At 35.9% G+C, this 14,771-nt stretch overlaps 1 protein-coding gene across 23 annotated transcripts in view; it reads right to left on the bottom strand.

The window, feature by feature from the left end:
- ATP2C1 (ATPase secretory pathway Ca2+ transporting 1) overlaps nucleotides 1-14,771 on the bottom strand; it is a 166,118-nt gene that overhangs the window by 41,941 nt on the left and 109,406 nt on the right. For 21 of the 23 annotated variants that reach the window (NM_001378511.1, NM_001199180.2, XM_047447960.1 and 18 more), the window contains 5 exons: nucleotides 10,677-10,801; nucleotides 9,727-9,824; nucleotides 7,532-7,627; nucleotides 7,353-7,442; nucleotides 5,376-5,480 (listed from right to left, as the gene is read on the bottom strand). In NM_001378511.1, coding sequence (NP_001365440.1) covers nucleotides 5,376-5,480; nucleotides 7,353-7,442; nucleotides 7,532-7,627; nucleotides 9,727-9,824; nucleotides 10,677-10,801 — 514 coding nt within the window. Of the gene's footprint in view, nucleotides 1-5,375; nucleotides 5,481-7,352; nucleotides 7,443-7,531; nucleotides 7,628-9,726; nucleotides 9,825-10,676; nucleotides 10,802-13,176; nucleotides 13,278-14,771 lie in introns of those variants that run through there. The other 2 variants (XM_011512686.3, XM_047447965.1) reach the window with 1 other exon arrangement.

The raw sequence follows: 14,771 nt of genomic DNA, 5'->3' as shown, positions 1-14,771 counted from the left end.
TTTACCCTCATGTTTTTAACATGTTTATACTGCTACTCCATCAGTTATCAATTTTATACACTGTCTATTGTGACAGATGTTAATTTCCCCATTTCCACTATCTATTCCCCCCCTCCCCATCTTTATGATATAGCTAAAGCAAAATCTGCCAGTATTTTGTTTACAACAAGACTCTTTGCTGCTAAGCCAAGTGTGGTAATGACTATAGCAGTTCACAAATATCCCAGTTCTCCTGGGAGGCAGGAATGTATTTCCCTATTGCCGTCCTCACTCCACAACGGTCAGGTATGACTTGCTTTGGCCAATAAACATGAGTACTTGTGTCACTTCCAAATGGAAATGTAGGTGCCAGTGCACAATTTCCTATTCTTCTACCCCTGCTGTGACAGTGTGTGCTCACATTAAAATGGAGCTTCCATCTGCCTGCATTCCCAAGTAACTACAATGAGCAGATATTTGGGGACAGGGAGGCAGCAGGAGAGCATGATGTTGTTTTCATGGCCTATCCTGATTGATAGCTCAAATAGGATACTTCTTTTCCTGTTCAAGTTTTGTCTTTTATAAAGTTAATAACCACCTCTTTAATTTGTTTTCTGTATACCTATCATTCATTCTTCCTAAACTCTTCAATGTAATATAAAACCCTTCTCATGGTATTTTTTCACAACAACAAAGAAGCAGATAAGCTATTACCTCTATATTATTACTGGAGACCACCCTCCTTCAGTCTTCTTTCCATTTCTAATTGGCTGATTTCTAGGCCTGCTGTACCACTGGTATCTAGGAACAACCCTCTACCTCTATCCTCACTGAATTTTAAGTCTTTTAAGTCTCCCTTTTCTTTTTTTTCTTTTATCCACCAATATCTAAGAAAGGGTGTGTGGTGTGGGACACATTTTTCTTCTATCCTCACATTTGTAAGTTTAGCTAGGGATAAATTTCCTCTCATTTTGAAGGCTTTGCTCTATTATCTTCCAGCCTCCAGTGTCAATGTTTTCATTGAAAAGTATAAAGAAATTAAAGTAGTGTCCCCTTATCCAGGGTTTAATTTCCTGCAGTTTCTGTTACTTAGCAGCAGTCCAAAAATATTAAATAGAAAATTCCAAAAATAAATAATTCATAAGTTTCCAATTATACAACATTCTGAGTATGGTGATGAAATCCCACTCTGTCCTGCCAAGGACATCATCCCTTTGTCCAGCATATCCACACCGTATATGCTCCCTGCCCATTAATCACTTAGTAGCCATCTATGTTACCGGATCGAAAAAAACACGGTATATATAAGGTTCAATATTATTCATGGTTTCAGGCATCCACTAGCAGTCTTGGAATGTATCCCGCTGGGCTAAGTGGCAGACTACCATACTTTAGTTCCTAAGCCCTTTTATATGATCTCCCCTTTGCTTAAAGCTCTCTAGAAGCTCTTCGAATTCTCCCTCTCCAAGTGTCCTCAAATTTCTTAATTATGGGTCTTGTGTTTATCCCTCACCCCACTCTGCTTTAACATACATATTGTGCTGAGCAGTTGGTGGGCCACTTTATTCTAGATGCTAAAGTCTTTTCATTCTGGAAAATTTTCCAGCATTAGTTGATAAAATCTTCTCATTTTCTGTTCTTTCTTCCTATTACCTATTCCTATTACCCTTCCTATTACCACTATGGGGTAATTACTGGATCTTCTGTATTTGTTTTGATTTTTACCTTTTATACTGTACATGTCTTTGACTTTCTGTTCTACTTTGATACATTTCTTGACTTTATTTAATAAACATTTTATTGAAAGTTATTTTGTCTTTTTTATGGTTTTTGGAAATTTTCTTCAGCATCTGCCACTACCTTTCTCTAAGATCCCTTTCTCTGTTGGTTTGGTCTTTGGCTTTCATACTAAAGATTTTCTCCAAGTATCTAGTAATCCCTCCCTGTTCACTTGTATTTAATACACCATGGAATACTATGCAGCCATAAAAAATGATGAGTTCATGTCCTTTGTAGGGACATGGATGAAACTGGAAATCATCATTCTCAGTAAACTATCGCAAGGACAAAAAACCAAACACCGCATGTTCTCACTCATAGATGAGAAGTGAACAATGAGAACACATGGACACAGGAAGAACACTCTGGGGACTGTTGTGGGGTGGGGGGAGGGGGAGGGATAGCATTAGGAGATATACCTAATGCTAAATGATGAGTTAATGGGTGCAGCACACCAGCATGGCACATGTATACATATGTAACTAACCGGCACATTGTGCACATGTACCCTAAAACTTAAAGTATATAAAAAAAAAAAAAAGAGTGAAGAAACTAAAAGACTAGAAGCTCCATGAGCACTGGCAGAGCTAAGGATCAACTGGTAAGCCTTGCTGTAGGGTGATGAGATGAAGTCCAGGAGTAGGTAAGTGCTTCCAATGAACAAAGAGCTTAGCTCAAAGGTGCCCCTTATGACAGGGCTCCCCAACTCCCAGGCAGTGGACCAGTACAGTCCATGGTATGTTAGGAACCCAGCCACAAAGAAGAAGTGGGCTGCAGGCAAGAGAGCACTACTGCCTGAGCTCAATCTCCTGTCAGGTCAGCCAGGGCCTGAGATTCTCATAGAAGCAGGAACCCTATCGTGAACTACACATGCAAGGGATCTAGGTTGTGCACTCCTTAAGAGAATCTAATGCCTGAGGATCTGAGGTGGACCAGTGTCATCGCAAAACCATCCCCTGCCTGTGGAAGAGTTCCAGGAAACCAGTCCCTGGTGCCAAAAAGGCTGGGGACCACTGCCTTACGAGACCAGGCAGCTTTTCTAAAACTCTTGAATCTTCTTACTTAGGGAATGACAGTAGGGAGATGCCAGCCTTCATGTATTCCAAGAGACAAATGGTGTTAAGAACTAGGGCTTTATCCTTCAGGACAATGACATCTTCTTAATCATTCTGTTTTCAGTCTTAAGGCTTAATCCTACCCTCTACTCTTATCCCCAGATTTCTGGTGTTCCACAGGGGTAAAGGAAGGCTAACCGTCTGGCCTAAAGAAGCAGCAAAGGTACTTGGGGGAGTTCTATTGGTTCCTTATTCAGAATTTCAAATTTCTCTACTATTTTTAGCCTTATGCCTTACTCCCTGCCTTCAAAGGTACCTGGCACCTTTGAATCTTCCCTATACTTTCTGAGTTTATATCTTTTATTCCTTGTTAGTAATTTTGGTGGGTTCCAGGGAGATAGTAGAGATAAATATATATTGTCATGTTCAAGTGAAAGTCCTTTAAAAGCAAACTATCTGAGCCACTGAAGTTACTTTTAAAATGTTAAGTTTCCCTATCTGTGTCAGGATGACTTCTTCTAGATCCTGAGTCACATCTGTGGGTTGGGTTTTGTTTGTTCATTTCACTGGTTGGTTTTCACTTGCAAGAGGAACTCTTCAGGTCAGCAAGTGTGAAGAATAATCAAATGTTTCCAAACATATCCTGCCACTTTCTGTCCCCCACTCCCACAACTAAGAAGATTTAATCTTCCAATGTAAAACTTTGGTAGATTACATTAAAAGTTCCTGAAAAGTAAAATTATTAAACATTACATGAGCCACACTATCTTGAGGTACCGTGTGATGGTTTACAAAATGTAATGAAATAGACCTATCAAAAAAAGTCATATGCATATGCTTGCCATATAACTATGTGGTTAAGGGACATCAGCTGAAAATCGCCTAAGTTTAATGCAATTTCTGAAAGCTTTACATTAAAACGTTTAAAGTGAAAGGTATTGTATTTTCATAGTTTTATTTCCAATTGTCTTCTTTCACCTAAGCTTGTAAAAGTTCCTTTAAAGAATAGACGGAAATCTTTTTTTTGGCCCTCATGAACATAGTTCCTGGAAGACTTCAATTCAAAGTTCAGTGTTAACCAACCTGGCCTTTCTTTTAAAAACTGTATGTTTCCACTTATATGAATGAAGGGAGATCCCTTCATTCCTGTTTTCTATAGAGACGTAATCATAGGTATCACATGCAAAAATCATGTGTTTGCTCATAGGTAAAAACATATAACCAACTAGTCATTCCTGTCAAAGGAACTATAAAAATAACAAATAAGTCCAGGCATGGTGGCTCACGCCTGCAATCCCAGCACTCTGGGAGGCCAAGGTGGAGGATCATGTGAGTCCAGGGGTTCAAGACCAGCCTAGGAAACACAATGAGATCCCATCTCTACAAAAAATTAGCAAAATTAGCCAGGTATGGTGGCACGTGCTTACAGTCCCAGCTACTTGGGAAGCTGAAGTGGGAAGATCACTTGTGCCAGGGGAGGTTGAGGTTGCAGTGACCCGAGGTCACGCCACTGCACTCAGCCTAGGCAAAAGAGTGAAGGAAAGTTTAAGGGTGTGTGTGTGTGTGTGTGTGTGTGTGTGTGTGTGTGTAATTTTTTTTTTAGACAGGCTGTTGCCCAGGCTGGAGTGCACTGGGGTGATCTCGGCTCACTGCAACCTCCGCCTCCCAGGTTCAAACAATTCCCCTGTCTCAGCCTCACTGCAACCTCCGCCTCCCAGGTTCAAACAATTCCCCTGTCTCAGCCTCCTGAGTAGCTGGGACTACAGGCACACACCACCACACCTGGCTAATTTTTGTATTTTTAGTACAGACAGGGTTTCACCATATTGGTCAGGCTGGTCTCAAACTCCTGACCTCAGGTGATCCACCCGCCTTGGCCTCCCAAAGTGCTGGGATTACAGGCGTGAGCTACCGCATCCAGCCCAAGCTTCAATATTTTTTAAAGTTAAGTTTCATCATCAAGCTGGTAATAGCAACTATGAGTGATATAATTATACACTGTAGATAATTCAGAACTCTTATTACACTAACTGGAAAAATTTCTCAAGCACCCAGGAACAAGGTGGCGGCTTAAAATATCGGTATGTCATTTTGTCAGCTTGTAAGCTGGAGTAATCAACATGAATGACATACATTTGCAAACTACTTTTCAAAAAGTAAGGTGGCTTCATTTGTTCTAAAGATAAGACATTCCTTCAGTGAAAGAACACAGATTGAAACACAGTCTGCAAAGACCTTATAAGGAACTGTCATGAAGAAGAGAAAAAATTCTGAAAAAATCTGATGTCACAAGCTTCAGGAGACTGAGACTAGGCTACAACTCATTTAAGCTGTTTGCTCACACAGCAGCAACTCCATGAATATATCTATGCATGGATTCTATAAGGAAAGACTATCAAAGAGAACACAAACAATTAAGAGATGAGTGTACTATTAATTACATGTACTTTAAAGCAACAAGTCTTTATTATGTACAATGACTAAACCCAAAGGTGGACAGTAAATGAAAAAATAGTCATCTAAGCTAAACAGGAAATAAGTATTCTTTAAACAGATGGATACCTGCTGTGTTCGGTGTACACACTTAACAGCCATCCACTTTTGCTCAGAGCTAAAAGGGTATTCAGCTTTTCTGATGTAGTCTTGTTGAAGTCCATCAAGACCCATCTATATGGCACAAAGAGAAAGTTAATTCTCACCTATATGTGATTATTTTTTCCTTTAACAAAGAACAAGGGTCACCACTTGTAACTAGGTTGGCTGGATTATTTTTCAGTTAATAGTGAAATAGTAAATGCTCCATCTATATATACTGTACTTCCCTACACATCAGCATACATTTTCAACATGAAAGCCCAGGTATGTAGATATAGTCTAAGGCAGGTTTTCTGGATTGTACGCTGACTAAACCTCCCATACACACTGTATTAATCCCTCTACCCACTCAAATTCTGAAAGGAAGCAGGATATAAATAAATAAAAGTACCCAACCAATTCTGAGCATGTATTTTTATGATCAATAGAAGTTTTAGATTAAATCTCTCACTTCTTAGGGACTCAAATGGCTCACCTGTTATCATCCTAGTCCCTTACCCTCTGCCACTTTATATCCTGAATACTACCAGTCATGTTGTTGTTTTCCCTCCTAATAGCGTTTGCATCAATATCAAATATCTAAATATCAAAAATATCAAAAAATATCTTCCAAATATCAAAAATGTTTAAACTACTCAAAATTCTACCATGTATTGCTTTCTACTTTCTACTGAAACATGTTCAGGCTCTTCTTGGCCTTAAAGGTTCTCCAGAAACCCACCACATACAGCGTCTATAAAAATCCTCCTGGTCGTGCAAATACGTTTCATTTCATCCAGTTTGGCCAACTCATTAGCCACAACCAACTCTATGCTCTTTTATTCCTCTCTACTTCTACTTTAGTTCATTCCCTAGCTTATCTCATCTAAACCCTTCCTATCCTTCAAAGCCCTCATATCCCAGCTCTGAATTTGCATTGTTCTTATCTTATATGTGACTCAGTGTTTAAGATTTCAGTGTCTGCTGTCTTGGACTGCCTTTTGTCTCAAGAATGTCAATATAAATTCCCTACCTAAAATGTGAGGTCTCTGCCCATAAAAAGATAGTTTCATATTCTTTATCCCTCAAAGAAACTAATATCTTTATAAGCATAACACAGGAAATACTTGATAACGGATTCATGTTTTGAGTACTATGCTGTTTTAGTTGTAAGGAGACCAAATGATACAGAAATGTGCTTTTCTGCCAAGGAAACTATATATTCTAAAACTATCAATTTTATTTCATTAAATATGTTATAATAACCTGTAATTCTGTACTGTCTCTCATTTCAAGCAACCTCATTTAGAAGCCTCTTGCTTTATACAAGTATCAAAATTTTCTCTGAATACTCTTAAAGGTAGGAATAGTTATTTTTGTTATGAGTGACAGGCTGGACTTACTAGGTTTCTCACTGAATCAAATATAGGACTTAGGGGATAAGGAGACGGATTGGGACAGATGAAAAGTTAACTGAGACTTCTTCTCCCCAAAACAAATTATAACTTCACAATCATTTTGAGAAATTAACAAAGGAGAGAAAGGAAAGACTGGGAAAACAAAGCTATTTTCTCATGACTGTGTTATTATCTTTACATAGAAATACTAAAGAATGTTGCCTTTTATTCATTCAAAAGTTAGTATTTATCAGCAATTACACACATTTATAAAGTATTTCACATGTAGATCTCAACATTGTGGAAGACAGGAACATTTCTTCACAAGAAATCAATGACTGCTCATTAGTTTGTAACTTGCATGTGAACAATAAAGTTATACTGAAAAAAGTCTATACTTTACATTTATAGGAATAAAACTGATACCTAAAAGATAGTAAAAACAATGAAATAGTATGAGTTTTTTTCACTCAATACCTAAAAACCAGTAATACTGAAATTGATGACACTGCATTCTGTTGTGAGGGCAGTGTCTCAAATGTCAAAGAAGAGAAATTTAGGTACGTACCTTCATTGCAAGAGCAATTAAGGCCCCTTCTGTTGGCTTCCCCATTAGAGTATTGTTTCTAATTACAGCATCATTGCACACACAGCCCGCCTAAGAAAAATACACATAAACTATGAACCTATCACTGTGTCTTAAGTTATTATGAAGAAAGTCACCATCTTGGAAAAAAAAATATTTACCTCAACAATTCTGCTAACAGCTGGGTTATAGAATCCATGAACAACATCACCATCAACAATCACTTCCCCAAATTGATTATAGCCAACTCCAGTAACCTAAAGATCACAAAGTGGGATCAATAATACAAACACTACAAACACTTGGTGGTGACAAGACCTATAAAACCCAAAAACTATAATGAGTTCTGTTCATTTTATTTATAATGACACTGTTAAAAGTGTTCACCTAGAAAAGCATTAAAATTTGTCTTTAAAAAGGACATTTAGTAAAGAAATATAGATTCTAATTCTCATCACAATTATTAATCTAAAAAGACATTGTTTTCTAATTACAATATACTGTTAAAAGAATAAGCTATGAAAATATACATAAGTAAGCTTAAACTTATATGACATTACACTTATATAGCATACTACAGTTTGCAAAGAACTCAAATGCATTACCATATGTAACATACAACACAAAGCTGTGACTTAGACAAAAGCAGTATTCTTTTTGCAAACATGCAGGCCTGGAGACATTGAGATATATGCTAGCACTTACAAATCACTTTAACACAGCATATTACACACCAATTTTAAAAATCAGAGGTAGAGACAAACCAGGTATTTATATCATATGTCTAGAACAAACCAAGCCAAACGAAAAGAAATTTCACAATAAAAATCATACAATTTAGTGGCCAGGTGTGGTGGCTCACATCTGTAATCCTAACACTTGGGAGGCTGGGACAGGAGAATCACTTTAGCCCAGGAGTTCAAGACCAGCCTGGGCAACAAAGCAAGATCCATCTCTATTAAAAATAAAAATAAATAAAAAATGTTTAATGACATTAATTGAGAGATAAAACAATTAACAAATAGTTAATGCATTACATATAGCATGACCTTAAAACAAAAGAAAAACTAATATTCTACCTTCCATACCTGGATCATATAAGCACATGTAATCCCAATGACCCTTCTGAATCATCCAGAAAGGGCACATTCACCAACACAGCATGGGGGATCTTTGACCAGATCTAACACCGTAAATATCAAGAGTCTCTTTTCAAAACCTATGTAAAATGGACGTAAATAAACCCAAGTACAACTTCTGTCAATTTGCCTACTGCTTATTTTTCTCAATGAATTAGCTATAAATACATTTTAAATCACTGTACCCAACATAAGTAGTGTTAAGAGCATTCCAGTCAGAAATCCTGCATAGACTGAGTAGGATTAGACCTGTCCATAAGCACCTTCAGGAAGAACTACTGCACAGTGATGTGCACTTAAGAGACAATGTATCAATATATAATTGTTAAAATAAAGTGATTCATTCATTCATTCATTTATCGAGTATTTATTACTATGAAGCAGGCTGTGTGCTAGGCAATATAGCTCCTGCTCTCTTATAATGGGGAAAAGGGACAGAAAATTTTACCTAAGATAAGGACTAAGAGGTATGAAATGCTAAGACAACATATAACATAGGGCCACTTCTGGGTGTTCTGAAGAAGTGGGTTGGAATTAAGGTGCAAAGGATGAAGAGGCATTAGACTATCCTAAACAGTGACAAAGGCAGCAAAGTTCTTAAAGTAGGAATAATTGTGTCACATCGAAAGAACTATAAAGCCAGTATACTTGGTGCACAGAAAGCAAAGGGTAGCATATAAGGGTAGAGGAGAAAATAAGGGACAGAACATGTACGGCTTTGAGACGCCACAGTTCAGGATCCTGATCACAATGGAAAACCATTGGAGTACCTTAATTTATGGAGTGACATGCTTAAAATTTGGTTCTAAAAAGATCCCTCAAACTGCTTATGGAGTGAGGGCATCAAGAATGGAAAAAGACCAGTCAAAAAGCTTTATCAGAATGGCAGGTGAGAAATGGCGGTAACTTAAAGAAGCTGGCTATAAAGTAGATGGCTGGGAAAATTCTTTAGGAAGTCAAAATTGGTAGGATTTGATTATGGATAGATGAAGGGGTGACTGAAAGAGAGATGTCAAGGAGGAATCAAAGTTTTTGGATTGAACAAGTGTACAAGTGGAATGAGACAAAGACTTGGTAAAATCACAGAGAGAGAAAATAACTCCACTACTAATTTACAGCCCTTTTGAAGGTAAGACACTGGAACTGTTAGGAATGTTAAACACCAAGTTTCTTAAAGGGATACTGTTTTTGTTTGTTTTTAAAAACCTATAGAGTACCTCAGCATGCAGACCATCTGAAGTAAATATGTGAGTAACAGTCATTTCATTCTTCGTCAGTGTTCCAGTTTTATCTGAACAAATCACATTACAGCAGCCTAAAGAATTAAATCATTACAAGTCACCAAAAGAATCAAGGAGAAATATAGGTTCACTTAAAAAACAAATCAAAGACTAGAATCCTGTCCTACTTCTCTGAATTTTATAGAAATCAAACTCATTGTTAATTTTAGATTAACTTCTCTCATTATGCTTGTTTCAGCATAAGGTACAGTTTCTGAAATTAAAAATAAAAATTAGATGATGACATGTTCTTATTTATATACAGTTAGTTTCTACAAAGCTACTTCACATTAGCTTTATGTAATGATCTTATATAACATCTTTTCTAGAAAGTTTGGAGAGTTTCTAAATATAAACCCGTATAATTTCTTCAATCAGGATTTTTCAAGGTATTTCAGCTTCTCATATATGGAGAAGATATTAAAATACAAACTAGAAATTAAATTCAGTACATTTTTGGAGTTTCAAAGCATATTGCACATAAAGTTTTGTTACAGCAATATAACTACTGTAAATTTACTGTTCTTACAGGCAAATTCAACTCAAGTATGACATTTGGGATCTGTAATAATACATTATCTTCTTTGACATGTCACAAGAAAAAAATTCTATTAATTTTACTCCAAGATTTCAGTTGTTGTATGGATTTTCTTAACATGATTTGTGCATTAGAACATGATGTAGAAAGATTTCTCTTCAAGTCCCCTCACCTAAGGGATAGGAATTTTTAATTGCCTTTTTTGGTTGTTAAAACCATATCCAATTTTGCCATAAGCCAAACATCATTATGCAAATCTCTAAGATAAAAACTGTAAAACTCTGAGATGATTCACTATTGACATAAACTTACGCATCATTGCATAAGAATGCTCTTAACACAGACTTACCCAGAGTTTCAACAATAGGCAGCTTTTTCACAATGGCCCTTTTCTTCACCATTCTCATAACACCAAGAGCTAGCGTCACTGTGACCACAATGGGGAGACCTTCAGGAATTGCTGCTACAGCCAAACTATAACCAACATATACAAAGTATTAAAATGTAGGTTAAACAGCACTCACAGCAAAATTTAAATTGGATGTTACTTAAAGCTTAATAAAACGCAAAATTAATATAGTCAATACCTAAAAAATAAACTTCTCAAAAGGAAGAGAAAGTTAACATTTACTGGATACCTAGTAGCTGCCAGGTTAAGCACAGTGGTTAAAAAATGTAGGTTCTGACATCAAATTGCCTGGATTTGTATCCCTGGCTTCACCATCTCTTACTTGTGTGATCCTGGGCTACTTACTAATCTAGCTCTGTAGTTTACTGTCCTCATCTATAAAATACAGATAACTACAAATGTTCAAACAAAAACTCATACATGAATGTTCACGGCAACACTATTCACGATAGCCAAAAGATGGAAACAGGCCAAATATTCATCAACTGATAAATGTAAAATTGTGACATCCATGCAATGGAGTATTACTTTAGCCACAAAAAGGAATGAAGTACTAACACATGCTACAACATGAATAAACCTTGAAAACATTATGCTAAGTGAAAAAAGACAGATACAAAAGGTCCCATATTATATCATTTCATTTATATGAAATATCTAGAATAGGCAAATCCATAGAGATAGCAGATTAGTGAGTGGTTGCCAGGGACTAGGGGAAGAGGAAAACTGGGGAGTGACTGCTTAATGTGTACAGGGTTTTCTTCTGGCATGATGAAAAGGTTCTGAATCTAGATAGCGGTTAACAGTTGTAAAACATTGCGACCATACTTAACTCCACCAAATTAACTCTTTAAAACTGTAAATTTTATAATATGCGTATTTTATCACAGTTTAAAGAATTATTTCACTCGCCTTTTATAATTAAAAAATAACAAGTCTTTCTTTGTGCCATTCCAAATACTATTTCTTGATCTGCTAGAAATAAGGACATAAGCAATTTAACCCTTCATTCTACCACTGTTCCCTCTGCTGCTTCTACTTCCTAATTTCCATTACCAACTTTTTCTTTGCATAATCTAGTACATTAGCATCCTTTTCTATAACCGTAATTGACTTTTTCATGCTTTATTTACTGGTTGATTTTAAAGTTGAAAGCACATAAGCAACAACATTATTGGCTAAACAATACACACTGAAGAGTCAAGAAATATGTATTATCATTAATACTTCCTTTTCTCCTTTGGGCTACTCAAAGAGAATGTTCCTAGTTCAAATGGAATCCTTTTTTTTCTTTTTTCTTTTCTTTTTTTTTTTTTTTTTAATGCTTCCATTAAGGAAAAACAGGCATTATCACTTACAATCTAGATACAACGAATCTTTTCAATCTTTTATATTTAAGTCATCTTAGCAAAACTTTGCAGAGGAATAATTAAATTGTAAAAAAACTTCACTCTAAATTTTCATTTTAATGATAACCCAAAACTATTCCTGGACTTGAAGGCATCTATACCTGAAATGGGTAACATCTTTTGGATGCAACTAACTGCTCATCTACTGCTTTTGGTGAACTTGGAACATATTTATCTTATAAATATTGATTTCAGATTTCAAAAAATATTTCTAACAGGCGCTAGCTTATTAATCTAGTTCTTCTTTCTTGCATTTGTTCTGTCAAATTGCAACACTTCTAAAACCACTGATGGCTCCCAATTGTGTTGAAAAGAGAACAGTTATCTTCTTTGGTCCATGACTGCAAAACATTTTCAATTTTAGATTTATAAACACCAATTACAATGATGAATCCAATGAATTTTTCTACTTCTGCATAATCTATTTCCTTTTAATCACTTTTATATTCATACCAGCCTTCAGCATTTCTCCACTTAAAAGCAGTATGAAGTCAATGCTGATAAACAAGCATCATAAAAGATGAATGAAATAGGGTCATGCATTCGTTTAGCTAAAAGAGATGGTCCAGATTCTTGCTGAAAACTACTACATGATAGAGTCCTTGCTGCAGAATGATTAACTGGAAGAGAATACCTGTTTCTTTTTTGTCCTTAAAAACAGATTGCTCACTCATCAAAATTAAGGTGTTTGAGAAGATCTAGAGTATCATCATCCAAAGACTCAGTCTTGAGATTTCACTTATATTATTAATTTCACCCACATCATTACGGCCTACAGTGCTTCTATTTGGCTCTTTGCACTGATCTTCTGATTTGTCTAATAATTGTGAAAAGTCTTCTCTGTCAATTATTCTCTTTGCCATTATAGTAGAAAGTGAAAAATTCTGAATTCTCATTTTTGTTCAATGAAAGCTGTAACAAACAAACCTAAAGATTGTGCCTTTAGACTTCTTTTACACCTTCTTAAATGATGCAATACTTTAGGCAACACAATAAGAAAACTAAAGAATAAGAGAATAGTGATTATTTACTTTATTATTACATCAACCTTCTCAATGATTCCATCATTTTTCTGCTTTCTTATTGTTTTAGTCATCTTCAGCACTCTTGCAAATAATTGTTAAAATAATTCCTAGGGTGAAGAAATTGTAAAATACTTCAAGAAAGAGGAAAAATAGGATCATTAAAGGTCCCATAATGTAGCTTATACTTATAAAAGATTCCAATGGATCCATACTGCAAAACAGAATTGCAAAATAGAATGAGTTTTATTCTATTTGAAAATTTTTAAGTATCTTGTCCTTTGGAAGACCTTGAAGAAAGAACAGAAGTTATGATATGTCAATCTGTACAAACAGAACTCAAAAAAAAAAAAACCCAAATCCTCAAAAACTAAAAATGATCCAATGGATAATATGTCAATGTTTAATATCTCAAACTTATTCCCCATTTTAAATGTATTTTATATTTAACCCATGGCGTTTTTAAACACAAATTTAAACCAAGAGTTTCAAATTGCATTTTCACCCCCTCCCTTGAGAAAAAAAAAAACACATTCTTTCACTATATCACAAATATCTTTTTACTTCTTATTCATTCTGATTCCTTGTAATCTATTTGACTTTTCTTTTTGAAAGACATTGACTTTTGTTCTAATATTTGAAATATTTCATATGCCTACAACAGAGGTCTACCAGGATTTCTTTTTCTTAGATGCCTAAGTAAGTTCTTGCCCTTTCTTATGTCTATTATCATCTTCCTTTCTTTCACCCTTGTTTTGCTGGAATTCATATAAGGATGGGTAGGAAATGAATGTTCTGAGTACTTGCCTACCTATTTGTCACTAATTGGACCAATCCTTTGGCTAGGCCCAATTTACAGATTTATGATCAATTGCCCCCCTAATTTGTTACCACGGCTCCACTTATTCTAATGCAATCTGATGTTGCTGTGGATGAACAGTTAATAAAATAATCTTCCCCTTCTGGATTTGATTAACTCTAGTTCTGTTCACCTAGTGACCTGGTAAGAATAATATGTCAAGTATGCTGCTAGATAACACTGCTATGATTAAGGGATCCCCTGACTAATAAAATCTCTCTGGACTAGGAAAGTTATAATTATCTTATAGGAAATCATAGCTTTGAGTTTCTCAAGTGTAGTAACTTGTAACTAGACATGTCCTTTGCAGGCATCTGGAAATGCATGTTTCAAAATACGTCTCTCATAGAACACGAGATATTTTAACCCAAGGTAGATCCCACACTCACAAGGTTGACCTTATCTCCTTGTACTTGAGTGAATTGCTACATGGACTGCTGCGGACTCTCAGGAGAAGGCTGCCTGAAGTTACCCTGCTGTGTTCAGGGCACAGGTATCAGATGTGGTCTGTGAAAGTCTTGTGAGTTGGAATGTTTAGAAGAACCCAAAAAGATCCTGTGGTAGAAACTGCAGTTGCTAATGAGAAGTCTGATGCCAGCGTAGTTACCCTTCCTTTGTAGATGACCTGACTTTTCTTCTTTAGTTTCACAATTATGTATCAAGGTTGAAGTTTTTTCCATTCTGCTTGGTATTTAGTGAATCCTTTCAATCTATAAAGACTTACTTTTTGCCTTAGCTTGAGAAA

This window comes from Homo sapiens, chromosome 3 (assembly GCF_000001405.40).
Source record: "Homo sapiens chromosome 3, GRCh38.p14 Primary Assembly".
Classification (NCBI taxonomy): Eukaryota; Metazoa; Chordata; class Mammalia; order Primates; family Hominidae; genus Homo; species Homo sapiens.
This window is presented reverse-complemented; position numbering and strand designations above follow the sequence as displayed.